The 20,157-nt window shown below is 42.5% G+C and overlaps 1 protein-coding gene across 8 annotated transcripts in view, besides 7 other annotated features; it reads right to left on the bottom strand.

Annotated features, from left to right (window-relative positions):
* The window catches only part of TRIM55 (tripartite motif containing 55), a 62,135-nt gene that overhangs the window by 39,767 nt on the left and 2,211 nt on the right, over positions 1-20,157 (bottom strand). For 6 of the 8 annotated variants that reach the window (NM_033058.3, NM_184085.2, NM_184086.2 and 3 more), the window contains exons 1-3: positions 8,283-8,590; positions 7,243-7,415; positions 564-729 (exon numbers count right to left, since the gene is read on the bottom strand). In NM_033058.3, coding sequence (NP_149047.2) covers positions 564-729; positions 7,243-7,415; positions 8,283-8,450 — 507 coding nt within the window. In that variant the 5' untranslated portion in view covers positions 8,451-8,590. Of the gene's footprint in view, positions 1-563; positions 730-7,242; positions 7,421-8,282; positions 8,591-20,157 lie in introns of those variants that run through there. The other 2 variants (XM_017013908.2, XM_011517617.3) reach the window with 2 other exon arrangements.
* Positions 8,772-9,044: a silencer, noted in NCBI's record as "fragment chr8:67038910-67039182 (GRCh37/hg19 assembly coordinates)". NCBI's record gives its function as "represses an EF-1alpha promoter that drives an FKBP-Casp9 reporter gene in an ReSE screen in HepG2 liver carcinoma cells {active_cell/tissue: HepG2}" and the evidence as "EXISTENCE:reporter gene assay evidence [ECO:0000049][PMID:32094911]".
* Positions 10,760-11,324: an enhancer, noted in NCBI's record as "H3K27ac-H3K4me1 hESC enhancer chr8:67036630-67037194 (GRCh37/hg19 assembly coordinates)". NCBI's record gives its function as "activates a minimal SCP1, AML or CMV promoter by ChIP-STARR-seq in naive and primed H9 embryonic stem cells {active_cell/tissue: H9 hESC(naive and primed)}" and the evidence as "EXISTENCE:reporter gene assay evidence [ECO:0000049][PMID:30033119]".
* Positions 10,760-12,201: a biological region, named in NCBI's record as "P300/CBP strongly-dependent group 1 enhancer GRCh37_chr8:67035753-67036952".
* Positions 11,002-12,201: an enhancer, noted in NCBI's record as "P300/CBP strongly-dependent group 1 enhancer chr8:67035753-67036952 (GRCh37/hg19 assembly coordinates)". NCBI's record gives its function as "activates an origin of replication core promoter dependent on BRD2, BRD4, P300/CBP, MED14 and CDK7 cofactors, with strong dependence on P300/CBP, by STARR-seq in HCT116 cells {active_cell/tissue: HCT116}" and the evidence as "EXISTENCE:reporter gene assay evidence [ECO:0000049][PMID:35650434]".
* Positions 11,148-11,397: an enhancer, noted in NCBI's record as "active region_27475". NCBI's record gives its function as "activates an Ori minimal core promoter by ATAC-STARR-seq in GM12878 lymphoblastoid cells {active_cell/tissue: GM12878}" and the evidence as "EXISTENCE:reporter gene assay evidence [ECO:0000049][PMID:35858748]".
* Positions 11,325-11,890: an enhancer, noted in NCBI's record as "H3K27ac-H3K4me1 hESC enhancer chr8:67036064-67036629 (GRCh37/hg19 assembly coordinates)". NCBI's record gives its function as "activates a minimal SCP1, AML or CMV promoter by ChIP-STARR-seq in naive and primed H9 embryonic stem cells {active_cell/tissue: H9 hESC(naive and primed)}" and the evidence as "EXISTENCE:reporter gene assay evidence [ECO:0000049][PMID:30033119]".
* Positions 11,738-11,797: an enhancer, noted in NCBI's record as "active region_27474". NCBI's record gives its function as "activates an Ori minimal core promoter by ATAC-STARR-seq in GM12878 lymphoblastoid cells {active_cell/tissue: GM12878}" and the evidence as "EXISTENCE:reporter gene assay evidence [ECO:0000049][PMID:35858748]".

Here is a 20,157-nt window from a genome sequence, read left to right as displayed (position 1 = left end):
TAGGCAACTGGCCCTGGTGACAGGAGGGCCAGCACAAGTCTGTGTTTTAAAGCTGTTCTGTAACTGCATGTCATCAGTGTAACCCTCCCTCACTAAGAGTGCGGGATAAAAGGCATTGAGGAGGGCCAAAGAAATCTTTCATGGGTGGATGAAGGAAAGTATTCTGTGACTAGGGTAAAAAGCTGTCCTTTTCTTATCTGTAGTCTAAACTTCACATAAGCTGGAGCAGTTTGAGCTTTTGCTGGGTCCCCTAACATTGCTCATCATCAGCAACCTCCAAAGGGCACAAAAACAGGGATCGTGCCGTTCTGCACCACTTCCTGAACCTGGGCACCCCTGCCCTGTCTCGCCTGGTCCCCCACCGTCCAGGGAATTTGGTGTGTGCCTCGTGCACAACTGTGCACATGTCTTCCTGCAGACCTTGTGTGCCCTCCAGTGTCCCATGGCCCTGCGTGGCTTGGGCTTCCTCCTCCACCGCAGGGAGCCACTCACACTGGCCCCAGGAAGGCCCTAAGGTGTGGGGATGGGGAGGGGTTGCGGGAGGGAGGGAGCAGCTCTGTTACCTTCTGTCTCTGGAACACATGAGTGAGGGGAGCCACCTGGCAGTCTTTGTGTGCACCAAACACCTTGCACAGAGAGCAGGTGGGTACTTCGCAGTTCAGACAGTAGATGTTGATGCGCTCCTCTTCATGTTCCTCGCACATGGGCTGGTCGGATTTCTTTTCTGGCCTGGGAGGAGGTAGGCAGATAAATGTCCATCAGCTCTCACTGGGGCAATCTCATCAAGGCAGAGCTGATGTTGCTCTGCCTTGCAAATTCCTTCTCTTCCCTGTATGCCCAGCAATTCTATTCCAGAAGACCCCCAGGGGCCCTTTCACATGCTCAGAGCCCACCAAATTCAGCTTCCCTGCAGGTGTAGCAGGGGAGTGCTGGCAAATCTCTAACAACCTGCTTGGGGTAGGGACAGAGACGTGGAGATCCTGATTTGTACCATTTGCCCATTTCCATGGTGTATTTCCACATGGCCAATTTTAAGTTATTTAAGGTTTCAGAATCTGGTAGTGAAATTCCTGAAAGTAGAATATCGAACCCTGGTGAGCCATCAGGAACGTGGTCCAGCACTGTGTCTACATGCTCACAAGTTTCTCAAGGGACACTTTCCCATTATGGACCAAGAACAGGAAATTGTTGATGAACTAAAAGTCGAGTTTGCACCAGCTTTTAGGAGTAGCTAGATCGCCCCCCTCCAGCCTCTGGCCCCAGGAAAGACCCTTTTCACCTGAAGAAATGAGGATAGGTGTGGCTCACATGGAACCAAAATCTTCTGATTATTAATTCAAGTACTGGTTGGATGCAAATGTGTATGAGACGCAAGTGTGGGTGTACCTCCTTATATAAACCCCAGGAATTCTGATATATCCTATCTAATGACTGAGGCTGCTAATAGTTTTCAGAAGTATTCAAAAAATTCAAATCCAAATCCAGAAGCTTTCTTCAAATTTCCAAACACATAGTTATTTAGCAACATCTTAGATTTGGGACTACATTTTGTTTTGTTGCTATACAGATCCAATTTTTAAAAACTACAGGTTTTTATGAGCCATGAAATCAATTTAGGGAGCTATGATCTGCATTGTTAAAATAAAAATAGAATGGAATAGCAAATACTGTGAATTACATGTAGTAAAAATAAGTATTGCTGTTCGAAACTTTTGTTTCAGGTGTACGTGTGTATATATGTGACTGAAACAAAAGTATATGTGTGTTTGTGTGTGTGTGTGTGTTTGTGTATGTGTGTATATACATATGTGTGTGTATATATATCCGTCCATATATGTAAGTGGTCACAATGTAAAATGCACTTCCTACTGTAAATCATGAATACAAGTGTTTGAAACCCATCTTTTTTGATGTGTGGTATCTTGTAGCTGCAGACCCAGAACTCAGAGAAAGGCAGAGAACGTGCTGATGTGCCTCTGTAAGACGCTAATGTTCCTTTATAAGTTGCTAGGTGGACGTCAATTACTTGAGATTAGGCTAAACATTGGGAGAAGCCCTGGGTCTTGTAAGAAAATTGCACGGACTTCCAGTTTCAAAATTTTAGAATCTGACTGTTGCAAAAGGAATTTCTGTCTGGTCTTGCAGCAATATGCTTTCCATGAAGTCTATGACCTTCTGATTTGACCACATTATTTGGAACTCAAATAAGGAAGTCAACTCCACAATTGAGAAAATTATCCTCCTCTCAGGTCTGTCTGTTTCCTCCACTAGAATATCAGCTCCATAAGGGCAGGGGCCATGATGAGTCTTTTTTTTTTTTTGCTGCATCTCCAGTACTCGGAACAGTGCCTTGCACAGAGGCAGTGGCTCCATAAATATTTGTTGCACAAATGAGTGAGACAATGAAAGGGAATTTGACCTATTAAATGGACAGTATTCCCTGTGCTCTAGTGTAACACCACCCAGCTGGAGAAGGCATGGCAAATATGGGGAAAGCCTGGGATCACCTGGCACTCCTGAGTGGCAGAGGAAGAGACCAGACCACATCCTGATTACTCCTTTAATAAATGACAGTGCCCTCTGGGGTTGGGACTGGCAAGTTGGTCTCTGCCTGGTCAAAGGCTTCTTCCCCTCTAAACCCTTCCCTCGTAGGTATCTCCACCTTATTATTAATGTGGGCTAAGCAAGAGTGGGCAGCTTGGGTCCCACATGCTGTTCTGATATCAACAGCTGTGACCAGAGATTGCGTCATAGAGCACAGGTCTATGCAGTATATGCAAATATTGAAAATGTGAAAACAGCCATAAGGCTCTACATTTAGTTTTGTTTGTGATTCAATTTATTTATTTTTTTCATGGTGCTGTATACACTGAGAACAATTTCCCATATTCCTCATTGGGTTTTTCTTATTTAGGTTGTAGCCCAGCCCCAGAGGCACCACTTACTCATAGATGAGCATATAATGAAACCTCTGTACAACTTCAAACATGTAACTGACTTGGGACCGATTTGGCATGTAAAAGAATGACATAAATACATGTTTATGAGGTGAGAGCAGCCAAGCTCACAGCTGTGGTCAGGGCCCAGTGCTAAATGTTGGCTGTGGCCCCTCACCGTTCAGTGTAGGCTAGACTGAGAAGTATGTAGCCTGCTGTCTCTGGTCTCTGAGGTTCCCGGGGCCACCCTAGAGTTTCCTGAGGAGTGGGCATCTGGTCTTGGTGAGGCAATTGAAGTAGTAACTTTGTAGTCAAACTGATATTTTTTTTGAGATGGAGTTTTGCTTGTCGCCCAGGCTGGAGTGCAATGGCTCAATCTCAGCTCACCGCAACCTCCACCTTCCCGGGTTCAAGCATTTCTCTTGCCTCAGTCTCCCAAGTTGCTGGGATTACAGGTGCCTGCCACCACACCTGGCTAATTTTTTTGTATTTTTAGTACAGATGGAGTTTCACCATGTTGGTCAGGCTGGTCTCAAACTCCTGACCTCAGGTGATCTGTCCACCTCAGCCTCCCAAAGTGCTGGGATTATAGGCGTGAGCCACTGTGCCTGCCCAAACTGATCTTAAAGCTTCATTTCAGCTCAGCTTCTCCATGTAGTGGCTATGTGGCCTTAGACAAGTTACTTAACCTCTTCTGGTCTCAGTTTTTACTCGTATCAAATATCAGATTAAGGGTCTTCTAATTAAATGTGGCAGAATGAACACAAGCATGTATTTATTTATGTATTTATATATGTATGTATGTATTTATGTATTTATTCTGCTGAAATCCCAGTGAAATGAGGATAAGGAAATAAAAGGGCATAAATCAATAAGGACAAAAAGTGAGCACAGATGACAGCAGATGAGAGATGTCAACCAAATGTTGGAAATTAGGAACATCTGGATGAAGGGACATGACCTACTTGAGTTGCATCTTAGTTCTGTTACATTCCTGCAGTGAGAAGCTTACAATAAGCAAGCTGACTTGAGCTATGGAACCCTGGAAAGGCTCTGGAACTGCAGGAGCCAGTAGTCCTGAAGGTGGAAGTAGGCGGTGACAGACTGGGAGAGGCTGAAAAGAGGAGGACTTTGTGCATGTTTTAAGAGATTACTTGAGGATGTGCTCCATAGAAATAAGAGAGTAAGCCACCAAACAAGGAGACCTGGAATCCAGGGAGCAAGGGGTTCAACCCAGGGGGAGAGTAAAAGAATTCCCAAGTAGAGGTAAAGCCCAGCCATGTGAGGGCTCAGTCCTAATTGTCTACAGTGGAAAGTCAATAGAAAATGTCTAAAATTGAAAAATCAAAGAATAGGAGCATACCAGTAGTATGCACATGTCATTGGTGATAAATAGCAGAAAAACAGCTAAAAGAATTAAAAGTGGTTGACTCTGGGGAATGAGGCTTGGGGGTGGGTAAAGAGAGAACAGAGTGGAGACTGCATTTCTCTTCAGAGGCCCAGTAGTAATGAATTCTAAAAGTTGTGTATGTTGATTACTTTAAGGCACTAAAAGCTTTAATAGGGTAGCAGTAATTATAATAATCAACACCTCACCGGATTATTGTGAGAATTAAAGAATTGCACATGATTCATGTGTTAGGCACCCTGAACAGTGTCTGGCATGCAGCACATAGTAGTTTTACTTGTTATATTTTAAAGTTAATTATTATTATATTAATTATTAATATTAGCCAAAATAGTACCTTCTCTTACCATCTCCCACTCCCAACTGTGGCTAGTCTGGCACCATGCAGAATTCTGGATAAGAATGCCAAGTTTTGGCTGGGCGCAGTGGCTCATGCCTGTAATCCTAGCACTTTGGGAAGCCGAGGCGGGTGGATCAAGAGGTCAGGAGATCGAGACTATCCTGGCTAACACGGTGAAACCCCATCTCTACTAAAAATACAAAAAAATTAGCTGGGCGTGGTGGCAGGTGCCTGTAGTCCCAGCTACTTGGGAGGCTGAGACAGGAGAATGGCGTGAACCTGGGAGGCAGAGCTTGTAGTGAGCCAAGATCACGCCACTGCACTCCAGCCTGGGAAACAAAGCAAAACTCCATCTCAAAAAAAAAAAAAAAAAAAGAATGCTAGGTTTTGTGGAGACTTACAGTCTCCAGCCTTTCTGGAGGAGGTCAGAGTTGACTGACAACATCCCAGTCTGTGATTGGTCACCCCCCCCGACCCCCTTCCAATAGCCACAGCTGAACTCTTTTCATTCTGTATATCCAAGGTCATTCCAGTGTTACCTAATGTACCCTGAGGCTCAAGATTCTGGTCTAGTAAGGCTGTCTGCCCCCAGGGGACAACTGCGTTTCCTCCCAGACATGTGGCCAAGTGCTCTGTGCAACTTGTGGTTTTGCTACCAAGTAAAATTGTCCCACAGGAAAGTCTCAAGTTCAAGAAAAAACAGCATAACAAAATCACAGAAAATCACAAAAGCATCCCTAGTTCACTCAACTATGAGCTTTATTGTTGGAAATTTGGTTCATTGCTTTTACGCAATTTACTTCCCAGGCCTGGGTACTATTTTTGGCAGCTGCACCAAGCCAACTTCATAGCTAAGGTGAAGATGTGTTTTGTAGTTTTACCAATACTGCAAGTTTTAACATCTCTTCTCTGGATTTCATAACAAGTATTGCTATTTTTTCATGTCTCAAGTTCCCACTGTGACAAGTAACAAAACATAAATTTATTGCAATAAATAGAACATGAAAGAATATTTGTGGTGTTGCTTAATCAGCTGGGATTTATGGGGCAACTATTCTGTGCAAAGCACTGTACTAGCTCTGAAACTTGTTACGTAAGAATATTTGTGGTATTGCTTAATCAGCTGGGATTTATGGAGCAACTATTCTGTGCAAGACACTGGACTAGCACTGAAACTCTTGTTATATAAACTCTCTTAATATTAGGTTGGTGGCAAAGTAATTGCTGTTTTGGCCATGAAAAGTAATTGCAAAAATCGCAATTACTTTTGCATCAATCTCATAATTAATTGGTTTTTAATTGGCTGGTTAAGTTTTTAAGAGACAAGTGTGTATTTGTATTTTAAAGTAGTGAAATACAATGAGATCAAATCTGTAAAGTAACAGCAACAGCAATAGTACTTTTGTTCTTGTCAAGAGACTTTGGAAGCAAGGGAAACAGCCAGCTGCAATCTCTGCAATATGTCATCAGCAATTCTTCCCCAAACCCATCTAGATCCTGGTACTGTCTAATTTAGTTTTGGATCTTTAGCGGAAATTAATAGCTATAATAATTATAATAATTATGTTAGATTTATAGAACAGCTTTCCTTCCAAGAGCACAAGCCTCTTAGAGCTCTGCAGATGTTCCATAAATACGTGTCCCCTAATGGAATCACAATGAGGCCATTTCTAGATGGTCTCAATATTGCTATCAAGCTTTGTGGACTGGACTGACCTGCACACAATTGAAAAGGGGCTCTTCACACCGTGCCTTCTAGGAATAAGCTTCCCGCAGCATTGTGTCTAGGAAAGGAATTCTATAGCCAATGTGGTTTGGTGAATAAGAAGCCTTTTTTGTTATTTTTTAAAAATGAATGGATAGATATATAATGCTATCACGATGTTATTCACAATCAACAAGTGAATGCTGACTATGCAGTAAATACAGTATAAGGAATAGGGAAACATAACCTGAATTTCACCCTTTTTTTTCCTCATGGCTCTGAAGTTTAAGTCCCTAAAGGCCAGGGTTTTGCCTTGCTTTGTGACTTCCCTTAGAGTAAATACAGTGACAACCTATGTTAGAGGATTTTGTTTTTATTATCATCCAAACAATTTTAAGGCAAGACTGTCTGAACTAGGAACTGGGCTACTTCGGAAGATGCCATTTCTATTAATTTTCTATTAAGTATTTACTAGATTTTTTTTTCTTTGCTTTGTAGGGATCTGGAGCTACAAAGTGCCTGTGAAGTGCAAAATGTGTAAAATGGATGTAATACCAGGCTTTAAGGTGGAGGGGGACAGCAGTATGTCTCTTTCAGCATCACCATCTGGAATGGATTGGTGTTAATGAGTCACTTCATTCTTAAATTGATACAAAAGCATGGGCACCAACTCCCCTCTCTCCTGCTGTGAGCAACTCTCAGTCTCACTGGGAAGGACTGACTTGGAAAACCATTTTTCCATAAAACAGTCTGTGATTGATAAACAAGCATTCAGCGTAGCAACCCATTAAAACAAACAAACAAAAACAAGTTTCAGATGGGCTTGACACATGGAAGAGTGGAAGAGTGTTACCTGGTGGACTCCTGCTTGTAGATGTCAATGATATTTTCCACCAGCAGGTTCCTCTGAAGTCCATATACCCCATGTCTATCCAAAACCACTTCATGTCTACAGGATGGGCAGCGGAATCGGCCCCCTGATGCCATGGTGGTACCTCCTCTTGTGGGCAAATACGGGTTAGAGGCCTGTTCTTGCCAAGTAAGAAAAAAGGAATTGGGTAATGCCACAAGCAGCTTCTCTGAGACTTATTTTCACTCTCTGCTACTACAAACAACATGAACTTCTACTTTAAGCTTGCCATAAGATCATCCCTCAGGGCTTTCTCAGCAAGTGGTCCTGAAACACAGGGTCAGACCTTATCCACAGTCATCTGCGAATATACCATTGTCCACGTAAGGTGCTTTTCCGTCCACCACTTTCAGAACCAAAAGTTCCAGCCAGAAACTCCACACTCATGTCTTCAGCAGTTACTCATTTATAGTTTTGAAACACATTAAATGGTTTGACTTAAAAAAAAATATGATTCTTAGTATTAAAATAAAACTAGATTTGGGAGTAAAGAGGACACAAACCAAATCATTAAAAGAAACGTGTTTTTCTTGAAAGTAAATGCAACTTTATAAAGTTTTTTTGTTTGTTTGTTTTTCTTTTTTTGAGACAGAGTCTTGCTCTGTTGCCCAGGCCGGAGGGCAATGGCACGATCTCCGCTCGCTGCAATGTCCGCCTCCTGGGTTCAAGCAATTCTCCTGCCTCAGCCTCCCAAGTACCTGAGATTATAGGTGCCCGCCACCATGCCCAGCTAATTTTTTTTTTTTTGTATTTTTAGTGGAGATGGGGTTTTGCCATGTTGGCCAGCCTGGTCTCGAAGGCCTGACCTCAGGTGATCCACTGGCCTCAGCCTCCCAAAGTGCTGGGACTACAGGCGTGAGCCAAAGCGCCCGGCAACCTTATAAAGTTTTTTAAAGGATTTCACCTCAATGTTAAGCACTTGATTCCAAGAGGAGGGAATCTTTTCCACCCCCTCCCCTCAACCAAATTCCAAACAAACCTACCTGGAAAATATCACTGGCACATTTCCTACACAGGTTGTGCTGACAAGGGAGAATCACCACAGGTTTCGTGAACATCTCTAAGCAGATGGGACAGATGAGTTGCTTCTCTAAGTTATCCATGGTCTGCTGCTCTTTGGAAAAAGATTTGTAATTCAGAGATGCGCTCATCTCCTCGCTGTCCCCAAGTGTGCTGCCAGGGAAGGGTGCTGCGAGTGGCTCCAGCAAGTGTTTCCTGGATATTATTCCAGGGATTGTGTGATCAAGTGTCCTTTACGTTTCTCTCGGTGGAGGACATTGTTTCAGGCCCTGGTTTGGAGTGGGTGCTGGAGCTGTTTTTAGCAGCCTGCGGTCACGTGACGGTGGGCTGACGTGTCCATATAAGCCAGTGACAGGAGGATGGATCCTGACAGGTGACGGAGAGCAGGAGTCAACATTCTTGCCCCAGGGAGTGAAGAGAGTGGGTGGGAAGGAGGATTACAAACCCCATTTAGACGGGGTTGTGAGGAGAAGGAGGTCGAAGCTGACAGTTGTCAACAACAAATGCAAATGTGCATGCCTAGCCACTGAACCATGCCCTCTGTGAGCACTCACTGAGAACTTGGCGATGGCTTCTCCAGGAAGGGGCAGAACGCAGCACAGAGTCTGTGTAACTAATGCCAGCCCTGTCTTGAGAGTGTAGGAATTGAGTCACGGAAAGTAGCCTAATAGCACCTTCTTAGGTGAAAATGAACAAAACATGTCTCGAAAATTGTTATCCTGGCTTCACAAAGGCAATCATCAAAAAGACTTTCTTAATGTTAAGTATTTCATCTTTGTCAGCTGGGGTTGTGGTCTTTGAAAAATTCCAATTTAAAAGCTAAATTCAAATCCCTTCACCATAAAGGTATCCACCTAATAAATAAATAAATACATGCATAAATAAAAATTCAAAACCAGTGGATGATCTAATTATTTGAGAAAAAAGTTACATTATAAAACAACTCTAGTATGCTGTTTGCTCTTCCACATTGCTTTCCTCTTCCTTGGCCCTCTTTCATCCTATACTGCCCCACCTCCTACATACACCCAAAAACACAAAGAAAATTTGATAGTCTTTTACTGATTATTTAAATTCTTAAATTATATAATAGTTTGCAACAATAATCTGTAATGAGGTAGTAACTGGCAGGCACCTGGAGGTGGCAGATCTATTATTTTATTTTGTCATCCCTTGGGGGACAGTTACCAGTGCCATTGACAACTGAAGTATAAATGGAGTCCTACTTCCATATCTGCATTTCATCTGCCTCCAAAATACCTATTCTCCCTTGCATTTCCCCTTCCTCCAAGGTGACTTGTTAAACCATAGTTTCTCTGGTCATTTCTGATATTCTTGGTCTGCTCTTGAGTCATAAACATCGATTCTGACATTCATCAGGATTTTGTGAAGCAACAGTTTAACCAATACATATTGTATTTAAAAATGTTTAAATCAGATCAAAAATAAAAAAGAAATCCAAGTCTGTTTATATGTGATAAATTTCGGCTTTCTTTCTCCTTCATTTTAAAAACCTTGGGCAATAAACACATTTTGTTAACATATCCCTGGTGTGAATTAAATTACCAGTGAAGTGTAGGTCAGTTATGTGTGGTCTTAGTGCTGTGTGCACGGAGAGCTTATTGAGAATCTAGTAAGCTCTATTAACTAATAATAAGTTATATATATTCATAAGCATATCAGGGATCTTTAGAGAATTATCTTAGTCCTTTCAATATTTATTTAGCAACTACAGGGAGGACGGGAACTGGTAAAGTTTTTTTACTGAGTTACTTTGGTTCACCCAGCCTAGGCAGTTAATTGTGTTTATCAATTCATGGGCTATGGAGGGGAGGTCTGAGTACAATATGTGGGATATTTTCTAGGAAAGATTAAGTTTCTACTGCAAAAGACCTTGCTATCTAAGTAAAAGCACTTAGACTAATCATGCACATTGCAGCAGAGTCTTTTCTTTTAGAAGGAATTCATTCCTTCAAAATACATTCATTGGATATGTGTAGTGTGTCTCCATTGTGTGAGGCTCTGGGTATTGAAAGATGAACAAGACATAGGTCATTGGCCTCAAGGAGCTCAGTATAAGAGTGGAGATGAGACATGCACACACAGAACATAGTACAAAATAAAATGTGATAAAGAGTACAAGCCAAAAAGTACCTGAGACAGGTCTCAATCGAGAAAGTTTGTTTTGTCAAGGTTAAGGGCGCGTGCCAGGAGGCAGGCCTGCATCTTTCTCCAAAGAAGATTTCGAAGGCTTTAATATTTAAAGGGAAAAGAATGGATATTGGGGAAAGAGAAAAAAAATTTCAGTTGTGGGTAGATAAGAGGCAAACAGTTGCATTCTTCTGAGTCTTTGATCAGCCTTTCACCAAATACATAATTTACATGTTGGGGCTGGGCGGTGGGTAGAGGAATAATAGTCATTTATGTCTTCCTTTAGCTCAGTGAGTCTGCATTTTTACATTAGAGGAAGAAAGCAGATATGCATTTGTCTCAGGTGAGCAGAGAGATGACTTAGAGTTCTGTCCTTCGTACCATGCCTGTGAAGATAAGCTGTCAATTTACACTGTCAGGGTAAAATTCAACAAAACTGTTTTAGGGTAAAGATATTGGGGCCTATAAGGAATTTCCCAGTGTGCAAATTGTAAGGGAGGTATGTAGCGTTTAAATCTTTGTAGCTATCTTATTTAGGAATAACGTGGGAGGCAGGTTTGCCTGACGCAGTTCCCAGCTTGACTTTTCCCTTTGGCTTAATGATTTTGGGATACCAATATTTATTTTCCTTTCACAACAGCTACAGCATTTCAGGGTCAGAGGAATCAGAAGGGCTTCATGGGTGGGGGTAGTGTTTGAACTGCTGCACCGAGGATCTCAGAGGGATGGACGTGTAGTTAGGTGGGGCATGGCTGGGGCTTTCCAAGAGAAGGCACAGAAGCAGCAACATGGGCATGCACAGGCATGCAGGGGATCTCAGAGCCACGGTGGCTTGAGCTGGAGTGCAGGCACGCGCTCAAGCATTGGCTGGCCATGGATACTGTGCTAAAGAGTTTTTAACACTTAATAAGTTAAGCAGCAGGAAGTCGTTAAAAGTTTCTCACTGGACACTTCCGTGAGAGCAGTGGTTGGTTAGATTGATCTTTCAGCGATGATTGGGTTAGATTAGCATGAAGGTGGCTGGCTAAAAACCAGATCAGAGGCTGTTGCCAATAGTCCAGGTGAGAGGTCGCGAAGCCCTGGCACAGGTCATGGCAGTGGGGAAGGAAAGGAGGAAATGATCCCTGGGGCTGCTATGAAAGTAGAATCCACACAGATGACTCAGATGCCTGAGCCTGAGTAACCGACGATGTAGTGAGAGGCTGCAGAGTGAGTCAGAGACAGTCAGGCTTTCTCCCAGCTTCTGCATCTACCTCCCTTTGTGGTCTTGGAAAGTGACTTCACCTAGGAGGATTTCAGTTCTGCCCTCTATAAGTGAGTGGGGTTCATAACCTAATTTAGCAGTATTTGTAGAAAAAAACAAAAACCTCTGAAACAGAATTTTCTTTTAAGAGACAGAGGGTCACTCTGTTGCCCAAACTGGAGTGCAGTGGCGCAATCATAGCTCACTGAAACCTCAAATTCCTGGGCTCAAGCAATCCCCCCACCTCAGCCTCCTGAGTAGCTGGTACTACAGGCGTGTACCACTATGCCCAGCTAATTTTTTAAATTTTTTGCAGAGACAAGGGTCTTGCTATGTTGCCCAGGCTGGTCTTGAACTCCTGATTTCAAGCCATCCTCCTGCCTTGGCCTCCCAAAACTCTGGGATTACAGAGCTGATCTCTATCTTCCTTTCTCTCTCTTTTTTTTTCTCTCTGTTCTTTCTTGCTCCCTGCCTTTTACTTTTTCTTAGAACTGTCCCTGGAGGCTACACAGGAAAACAGCATGAATCCCACAGGAGTAAGAGCCCAGTTGATGAATGTCAATGAAAAAGAGTAAAACTCTGTAAAATATTTGAAAAGATTTACTCTGAGCCAAATATGGGGACCATGACCTGTGACAGCCCCAGGAGGTCCCGAGAACAGGTGCCCAAGGTGGTCAGGCTACAGTGTAGTTTTATAAGTTTCAGGGAGACATAAGACATCAATCAATATATGTGGGGATATACATTAATTTGGTCTGAAAGATGGGACAGCTCAAAGTGGGGGCTTCCAGGTCATAGGTAGATTTGAAGATTTTCTGATTGGCAGTTGGTTAAAAGAGTTAAGATATTATCTAAGGACCTGGAATTTATAGTAAGATATGTCTGGGTTTAGATAAGGGGTTGTGAAGACCAATGCCCTTGTGCAGAAGAAGCTTCCGGGTAGCAGGCTTCAGAGAGAATAGAAGTTAAATCTTAGTTAAATCTCTCCTGGATCAGGGAAAAGACCTGCAAAAGGAAGGGATTCTCTATAGAATGTAGATTTTCCTCAGAAGAGACAGTGTTGCAGGGCCATTTCAAAATATTTCAAAGAAATATATTTTGGGGTAAAATACTTCAATTTCTTTCAGGGCCTGCTATCTGTCATACGATGCTATACTAGAGTCAGATTGGAATTTGGTATCTTATTGCTACAAAGAGTCTGTTTGTTCAGTCTTAAGATCTCTGTTTTAGTGTTAATACTGATCAGCTAAGCCTGAATTCTAAAAGGAAGAGGCTAGAAGGAGTCATGTGTGATCTTCCCATAATGGCCTGAACTAGTTTTTTAGGTTTACTTTGGAATGACCTTGGCCGAGAAGGGGCATCCATCAGTGAGTTGGGGGGCTTAGAATCATATTTTTGGTTTACCTTGTGAACCCCGAAAATCTGAGACAGGTCTCAGTTAATTTAGAAAGTTAATTTTGCCAAGGTTGAGGATGCATGCCTGTGACACGGCCTCAGGAGGTTCTAACGACGTGTGCCCAAGGTGATCAGAGCACAGCTTGTTTTTATACATTCTAGGGAGACATGAGACATCAATCAACACATGCAAGATGAACATTGGCTTGGTCTGGAAATGTGGGACAGCTCGAAGCAAAGGCGGGAAGATTCGAAGCGGGGAGGGGGATTCCAGGTCCTAGGTAGATAAGAGACAAATGGTTGCATTCTTTTCAGTTTCTGATTAGCCTCTCCATTTATGCATTTATCTCAGTGAGCAGAGGGGTGACTTTGAATAGAATGAGAGGCAGGTTGGCCCTAAACAGTTCCCAGCTTGACTTTTCCCTTTAGCTTAGTGATTTGGGGGCCCCAAGATTTATTTTCCCTTCCCAACATGAATAATAACCACCTTCCTCTCTGCATTCTTTTTTCTCCATTCCTTGCTCCTCCCTGCTCTCAGACACCAATCCATGGGGTGGGTGTGTGAGCTGTAAGTGGGACACAGGAGGGAGTGCTCTGCTCTAAGGAGAAATCAGAACATTTTATTCACTCCCAAATCATTCACAGGGTCCAGGAGGTTGGGGAAATTCTGGACTTGAATCAGAATTTAAGTCATCTTCAGGCTCCGGGATTTGGAGTGGACCTGAGCCTGCGCAGGGACATGAAAACCAGCTGATAAAAGAAAAAATTTAGACAAATTAAAATTAACAAAATTTAATAGAACAAAGGATGATTCATGAATGGGGCAGCCCTCAGAACCAGAATAGATTCAGTGATTCAAGGGCTGCCCTACGGTTGGATAAGATTTATGGACTGAGAAAAGGAAGTGATATACAGAAAACAGAAGTGAGGCACAGAGTTAGCTGGATTGGTAACAGCTCAGCGTTTGCCTTATTTGAACCCAGTTTAACAGCTGACCACCTGGGATTGGCTGAGACTCAGCGACCTGTTACAAGAGCACGTTACAGTCTGTTTAGACACCCAGTTGGGTGACAGTTCACTATGTACAAGAAATCTTTAGGTGAAACCTAAAATATGTATGAAGGTAGCTTTAGGTCAAACTTAATTCAACAAAGTGTAGTCTCCTGAAGGTATTTTGGTTTATATAGAAGGACTGCATTGCTTGCCCCACTTCCACCCCCACTCTTACCACACACATCAGGACAGAAGCTAGAAACTGATCGGGAGCAATTACACAGGGAGCTGCCATGGTTGGAAGTCCTGGTTGTCCCTCGTTTCTGAGTCCCACCAGCCTGGGGCTGGAGTATGTTAAGACACATTGAAAAACTGAAGCAAAGTCACCACCACCTTCCCCTCTTTCAACAGTTTTCCAGTCTCCCAGGTATGTCTGGGGAAATTAGATGGGTCCCTAGGAACCTGAGTGTGCACCCAACAGTGGATGTGACGCTGAAGGGTAACAACAAAAAGAGAAGGCTTTTGACCTCTTTCAACCTGTAGCTGCCGGGCCAAATGGAACCAGGCTTTTTCAGGGGCCAGGGCCCAGGAAAGAGATGTAGATCTGCAATGGAATTCTGACATGACCTACCTGGAGTTAGGCCAAATTTCACAAGTAAAGGGCATGGTCTGTCCTGACTTCAGACACCAACAGCAAACTCTGGGGTTCCCAGGTCCTGCACTTCTGACCAACTGGCTACAAATTTGGAGGTTCCCACTACCCCCTTAGTTTGGTAGAATGACTCACAGAACTCAGGAAAACATTATATTTATGATTACAGTTTTATTAGAGCCAAAAAGAATACAAATTAAGACCGGCCAAAAGAAGAAATGCATAGGGCAAGGTTGCAGGGTGTCCCAAATGTGAACTTCCATGTCCTCTCCCAGTGGAGTCAGGATGCATCACCCTCCTGGCACACGAATGTGTAACAATGCACACAGAGTGCTGTTAACCAGGGAAGGTCACCCGAGCTTCTGTGTCCAGAGTTCTTATGGGGGTTTCATTATGCAGGCATGATTGATGGAATCATTAGCTTTGTGACTGATCTCAATCTTCAGCTTCTCCTTGCCTCCCTGGAGGTTGGGCTGACATCACATGGCTTAAAGCCCCAAGATTCTCATCTCATGGTTGGTCTTTCTGACATGGCTAGCCCCAACCCCCCTTCCCCGTCCATAGTTATCTCATTAGCATAAACTAGCAGGGCCCACGATGAATAACAAAGGCATGTCTGTCACTCGGGAAATTCTAAGGATTTAGAGGCTCCCACTCAGGGACTTGGGACAAAGACCAGCTAAGTTCTTTATTATATAGTAAGAGCTCAGTGTGTTTTTCATCTAGGGAAGAGAGGAAAGGGATGCTAAAATTATTTTTACTATTATACCACTACAACAAATATGATAAATATGTACTGAATACCCATTACTTCATGTCACAGCTCCCTGTCTCAGGTATTATTATCTCCACTGAGTCAACTGTGGCTGAGCAAGTTAAGTAGTTGCCCTGAGTCACGTGGCTGCTGAACTGTGATGCACACTGAGAGACACATCTTTTGAGCACAGAGCCCATGACCTCACCCACTAAGCTGCACCACACCCATGCTTTAGAAGGGCACTGTCCATAAGAATTTCCGCTAATGATGGAAATGTTCTATATCTGTAGTGTCCAATCTCTAGTCACTTGTGGTTCTTGAGTACTTGGAATGTGCACAGTGCAGCTCTGAAACTAAATTTTAAACTGTATTAATTTAAACTTATATTTAAATGTCCACATGTGGATAGTGGTTATTATACTAGACAACCAGCCCTAGAACATGAGATATAAAAAAATATTGGGGGCAAATTCAAATGCATATGAAGGACTCTCCAACAAGAACTGGGTCACCGTCTTTTGGTGATTTTGTACTCTCTGGCTAGAGTGATGTGAATCCCCACTCGCCCCAGAATGGTCAGAAGAGCAGCACTGATTCTTCATTGTAACTGTCAAAATAGGTCAGAGCATTCTGAGAACGGGAGACATTAGAAAATCCCAAAGAATCCTGAAGATTCCAGAACATCCTTGGCATTTCACTTACCCATGTTCTCTTTTGTCTCTTTGGTGCAGGTAATTGCAAGTCCAGGTACTTGAAAATAATCCAGGCTTAGTTTAAGGAGCCATTTGTTCATCAAACAGAACAAAGAACTTATGGTTAGATGGAGAGTACAGCTAAAAGGAAATAAAAAACCGATATGGTTTGAAGCAAAACAGTGAGCAGAGAGAGTGCAGTCCTGATGAAAGAGAAAACAAGAGGAGTCGGAAGACTGATCTTACTCTTGGCTCAGCCTCTAAGGTAGAAAGGAAGTATTCTTGCTTTCTTGTGCCCACTGGAAGTGAGAAAGAGGGTGGCTGCCTAAGAATTAAAACAGGGAAAGAACATCAGATGATGTGGATGTGGAGGCAGAGAGTCAGTGATTGCTGAAGAAGGAAGTTTAGTTGGGCTGGAGCACTAGGGCACCAGTGGACCAAGACTTTCAGGTCAACTCCAGCACCAATATAATCTGAAAATTATTTTAATCCCATGCCAAAACAAAGGTCAACACTTAATCTTGTGCAAACCAGGTCCTCTTAAACTGAGCCAGTGAGGCTGTTAATTCTTTCTTGCAATATTCACACATGCATGCATGCATCCACCTGTCCATCCATCCATCCAACCATCCATCCACCCATCCCTCCCTTTTTTAGTGAGAACACCACTCATGAGCAGCGGAGAGAAGGCCACACTTCATCTGGGATTTCAATGAGCTGGTGTTCCAAGCACCAGGCTCTGTTATCAGTCCTGCCAGATATAACCCATCTGACCACAGAAGGCATAATGTTATTTCCTTTGGTATCCTAGAGCTCAGGGTGTGGCCCAAATAAAGCACTTTCTAACCATTATTTGGCTTAGAAATTTCCCTCCATGTAACAACTTTAAAAGTTATTCCAAAAAATATAACCCAGAACTCTCTTTCCATACAAAGATTCTTGCCATCCCTTTGCACTGAGGACTTGACCCATGACATCTACAAAATACTAAATGTTTTCCCTCTGCCTGTGTCATCAGTCTTTTCTATTTAGCTGTCTACCTGGCAATAGGTAGCTTGCATATGTGATTTTTAAATTTTTAATGAAAAGAAACATCTTACAAAATCTAAAATCAAAAAGAAATGAACTTGAAAAGCACTAAACAGTAGCTAACACTGGCATTTCTTTCATTAGATGGTTTGCCAACTTCTGCTTGAAATCTTTTGTTCATTTGATAATCACTCCTTCTTCAAATCTGTTGTTTATAAATTTTACTTCATCATAAAGATCTCTGAGGAAATGTTAGTAAAATAAACATATTTTACTTTCCTCTGAACACTTCTTTTTTTTTTTTTTTTTTTTTTTTTTTGAGACGGAGTCTCGCTCTGTCCCCCAGGCTGGAGTGCAGTGGCGCGATCTCGGCTCACTGCAAGCTCCGCCTCCCGGGTTCACGCCATTCTCCTGCTTCAGCCTCCCGAGCAGCTGGGACTACAGGGGCCCGCCACCACACCCGGGTAAGTTTTTTTGTATTTTTTAGTAGAGATGGGGTTTCACCGTGTTAGCCAGGATGGGCTCGATCTCCTGATCTCGTGATCCACCCGCCTCGGCCTCCCAAAGTGCTGGGATTACAGGCTTGAGCCACCGTGCCCGGCCTCCTCTGAACACTTCTTGGCAATAAGAAACACTCATTACATATGTGCCAGAAATAAGCAGCGACAGTCCCAACAAGTAGCGAATACTTTAGCCCAAGGTCTTCCCAATGGCCCATGTCTGAACCCCAAACGTTGGTTTCACCCTCACCACCCATACCCACCCCCACTTCTCCTCCACCCGACCCTCTTAACTGATTTCTCTGAATTCACTCTTGCCTTCTGCAATCCACTTCTCACAAGTCACCCCTTATTTAAAACCTATTAATGGTCACATCACCTCTAGGATAAAGATATTAATCCTCACTGTGGTCCCAAGACCTGATATGATCTGGCCCTTGCCTATCTCTCCGACTTGCACTGTCCAGAGAAATAAGATGTATGTGACAAATATGAGCCATATACATGATTTTAAATTTTGTAGTAGCCACATTTAAAAAATCTAAAAATAAATAAAAATATTATTGTATTTTACTTAACCCCAGAACATCTAAAATATTATCATTTCAACATGTAACCAATATTGTTTAAAAGTTAGATGTGCGTACAGAGACAGTTTTCCCTCTTCCTTTCCTATGTGGAGGTCTTTTACTTCATTTCCTTTGCTTTATTGCCCTGGCAAGAGCTGAAAACTCAGAATGGACACCCTTGCCTTGGTCTTGGTCTTAGGAGGAAAGCACTGTTCTTTAATATTAAGCATCAGGTAAGCTGCATGTGTTTCACTTATGTCCTTCATCAGGTTGAATAAGTTCCCTTCCCCTCCAAATTTGCTGACAGTTTTAAAAAGCAGGAATGGATGTTGACTTTGGTCAAATGCTTTTTCTGCATCAGCTGAGATGATCACATGATTTTTTTTCTTTAATCTGTTTAATGTTATGAATTTGAATGTTGAGCCAGTCTTGTATTCCTGGGATAAATCTCACTTAGTCATAATGTATTTTCCTTTTTATATGTTGTTGGATTTACTTAGCTAAAATTTTGTTGAGAATTTTTGCATCTACATTCATAAGCTATATTGGTCTGTAATTTTCTTTTTCTATAATGTCTTTGCCTGATTTTGGTATCAGAGACTTCATAGAATGAGTTGGAAAGTACTCCCTCTTCATCAGTTTTTTTGGAAAAATTTGTATATAATTGGTATTTTTTTTCTACCTTAATTGTTTGGTAGAATTCACTACTGAAGCCTCAGGGGCTGGTGTTCTCTTTATGAGAGATCATTACTGTTGTTAACATTTTAATGCATGTTTCCAGTCTTTTTTCTTTCTTTCTTTTTTTTTTTTTTGAGACAGGGTCTCCCTCTGTCGCCCAAGCTAGAGTGCAGTGGCGCAATCACTGCTCACTGCAGCCTCGACCTCTCAGGTTCAAGAGATCCTCCTACCTTACCCTCCCGAGCAGCTGGGATCACAGGTACACGCCACCGCACGCAGCTACTTTTTGTATTTTTTGTAGAGACAGGGTTTCACCATGTTGCCCAGGCTGGTCTCGAACTCCTGAGCTCAAGGGATCTGTCTGCCCGGGCCTCTCAAAGTGCTGGGATTATAGGCATGAGCCACCATGCCGACCTGTTTCTAGTCTTTTCTATAAATAACTTATGCTTGTTTATATTGCTCTATACCTACTTTATTTCTTAGAATTTGATTATTAACATTTCCCATGTCAATATAAGTTCTTAATAAATATAATTTTGAGAGCTATATATATTTCGTTACATGGCCATACCATAATATATCTAACCATCATATTGTATTTTTAGCATTGTTCTTCCTACTTTCCCTACACAGTAGATCCAAGCACCTCTTTCCAAGCACTTCCATATATATTTATATAAACGCATATACAAACCCTTAGACTAATTCCCCCAGGCCTTCGCTGTATGATGCTATGCTTGCCCGGCCTCTAGGTGCTGAAATGTGTCCGAATCTCTACAGTTTGCCAGGGAAATGGCATTTTATGTTTCTGTTTCTTCTTTCCTTGCACACTCATAACAGCTAATGTTTACTTTGTGTTTACTATGTGCCAGGCACTGTACTAAGGCCTTTACATGTTATATCTTAATTAAAAGTAGGTATCATTATTATATCCCCACTTGAGAAACAAAGACACTGAAGCACCGAAATGTCAAGCAACCTGCCTGTGGTCATGCAGCTACAAGTAGCAAAGCCAAGAAAGGCCATCAGGTTTTACAGCCTGCCTGACTAACCACTATGCATTACTGCTTCCTGATTTGTACCTTTGAGCTTTGTATGTGAATTCCATTCCCAGCTTGGGTTGCTGACTCTGAGATATCCTTTGAGTTTTGGCCCAGGTCACCTCCCCGAAACGTGTGT

The sequence above is a fragment of the Homo sapiens genome, chromosome 8, assembly GCF_000001405.40.
Source record: "Homo sapiens chromosome 8, GRCh38.p14 Primary Assembly".
Taxonomy (NCBI): Eukaryota; Metazoa; Chordata; class Mammalia; order Primates; family Hominidae; genus Homo; species Homo sapiens.
The sequence above is the reverse complement of the archived record's forward strand: the minus strand, read 5'-3'. Positions and strand labels throughout refer to the sequence as shown.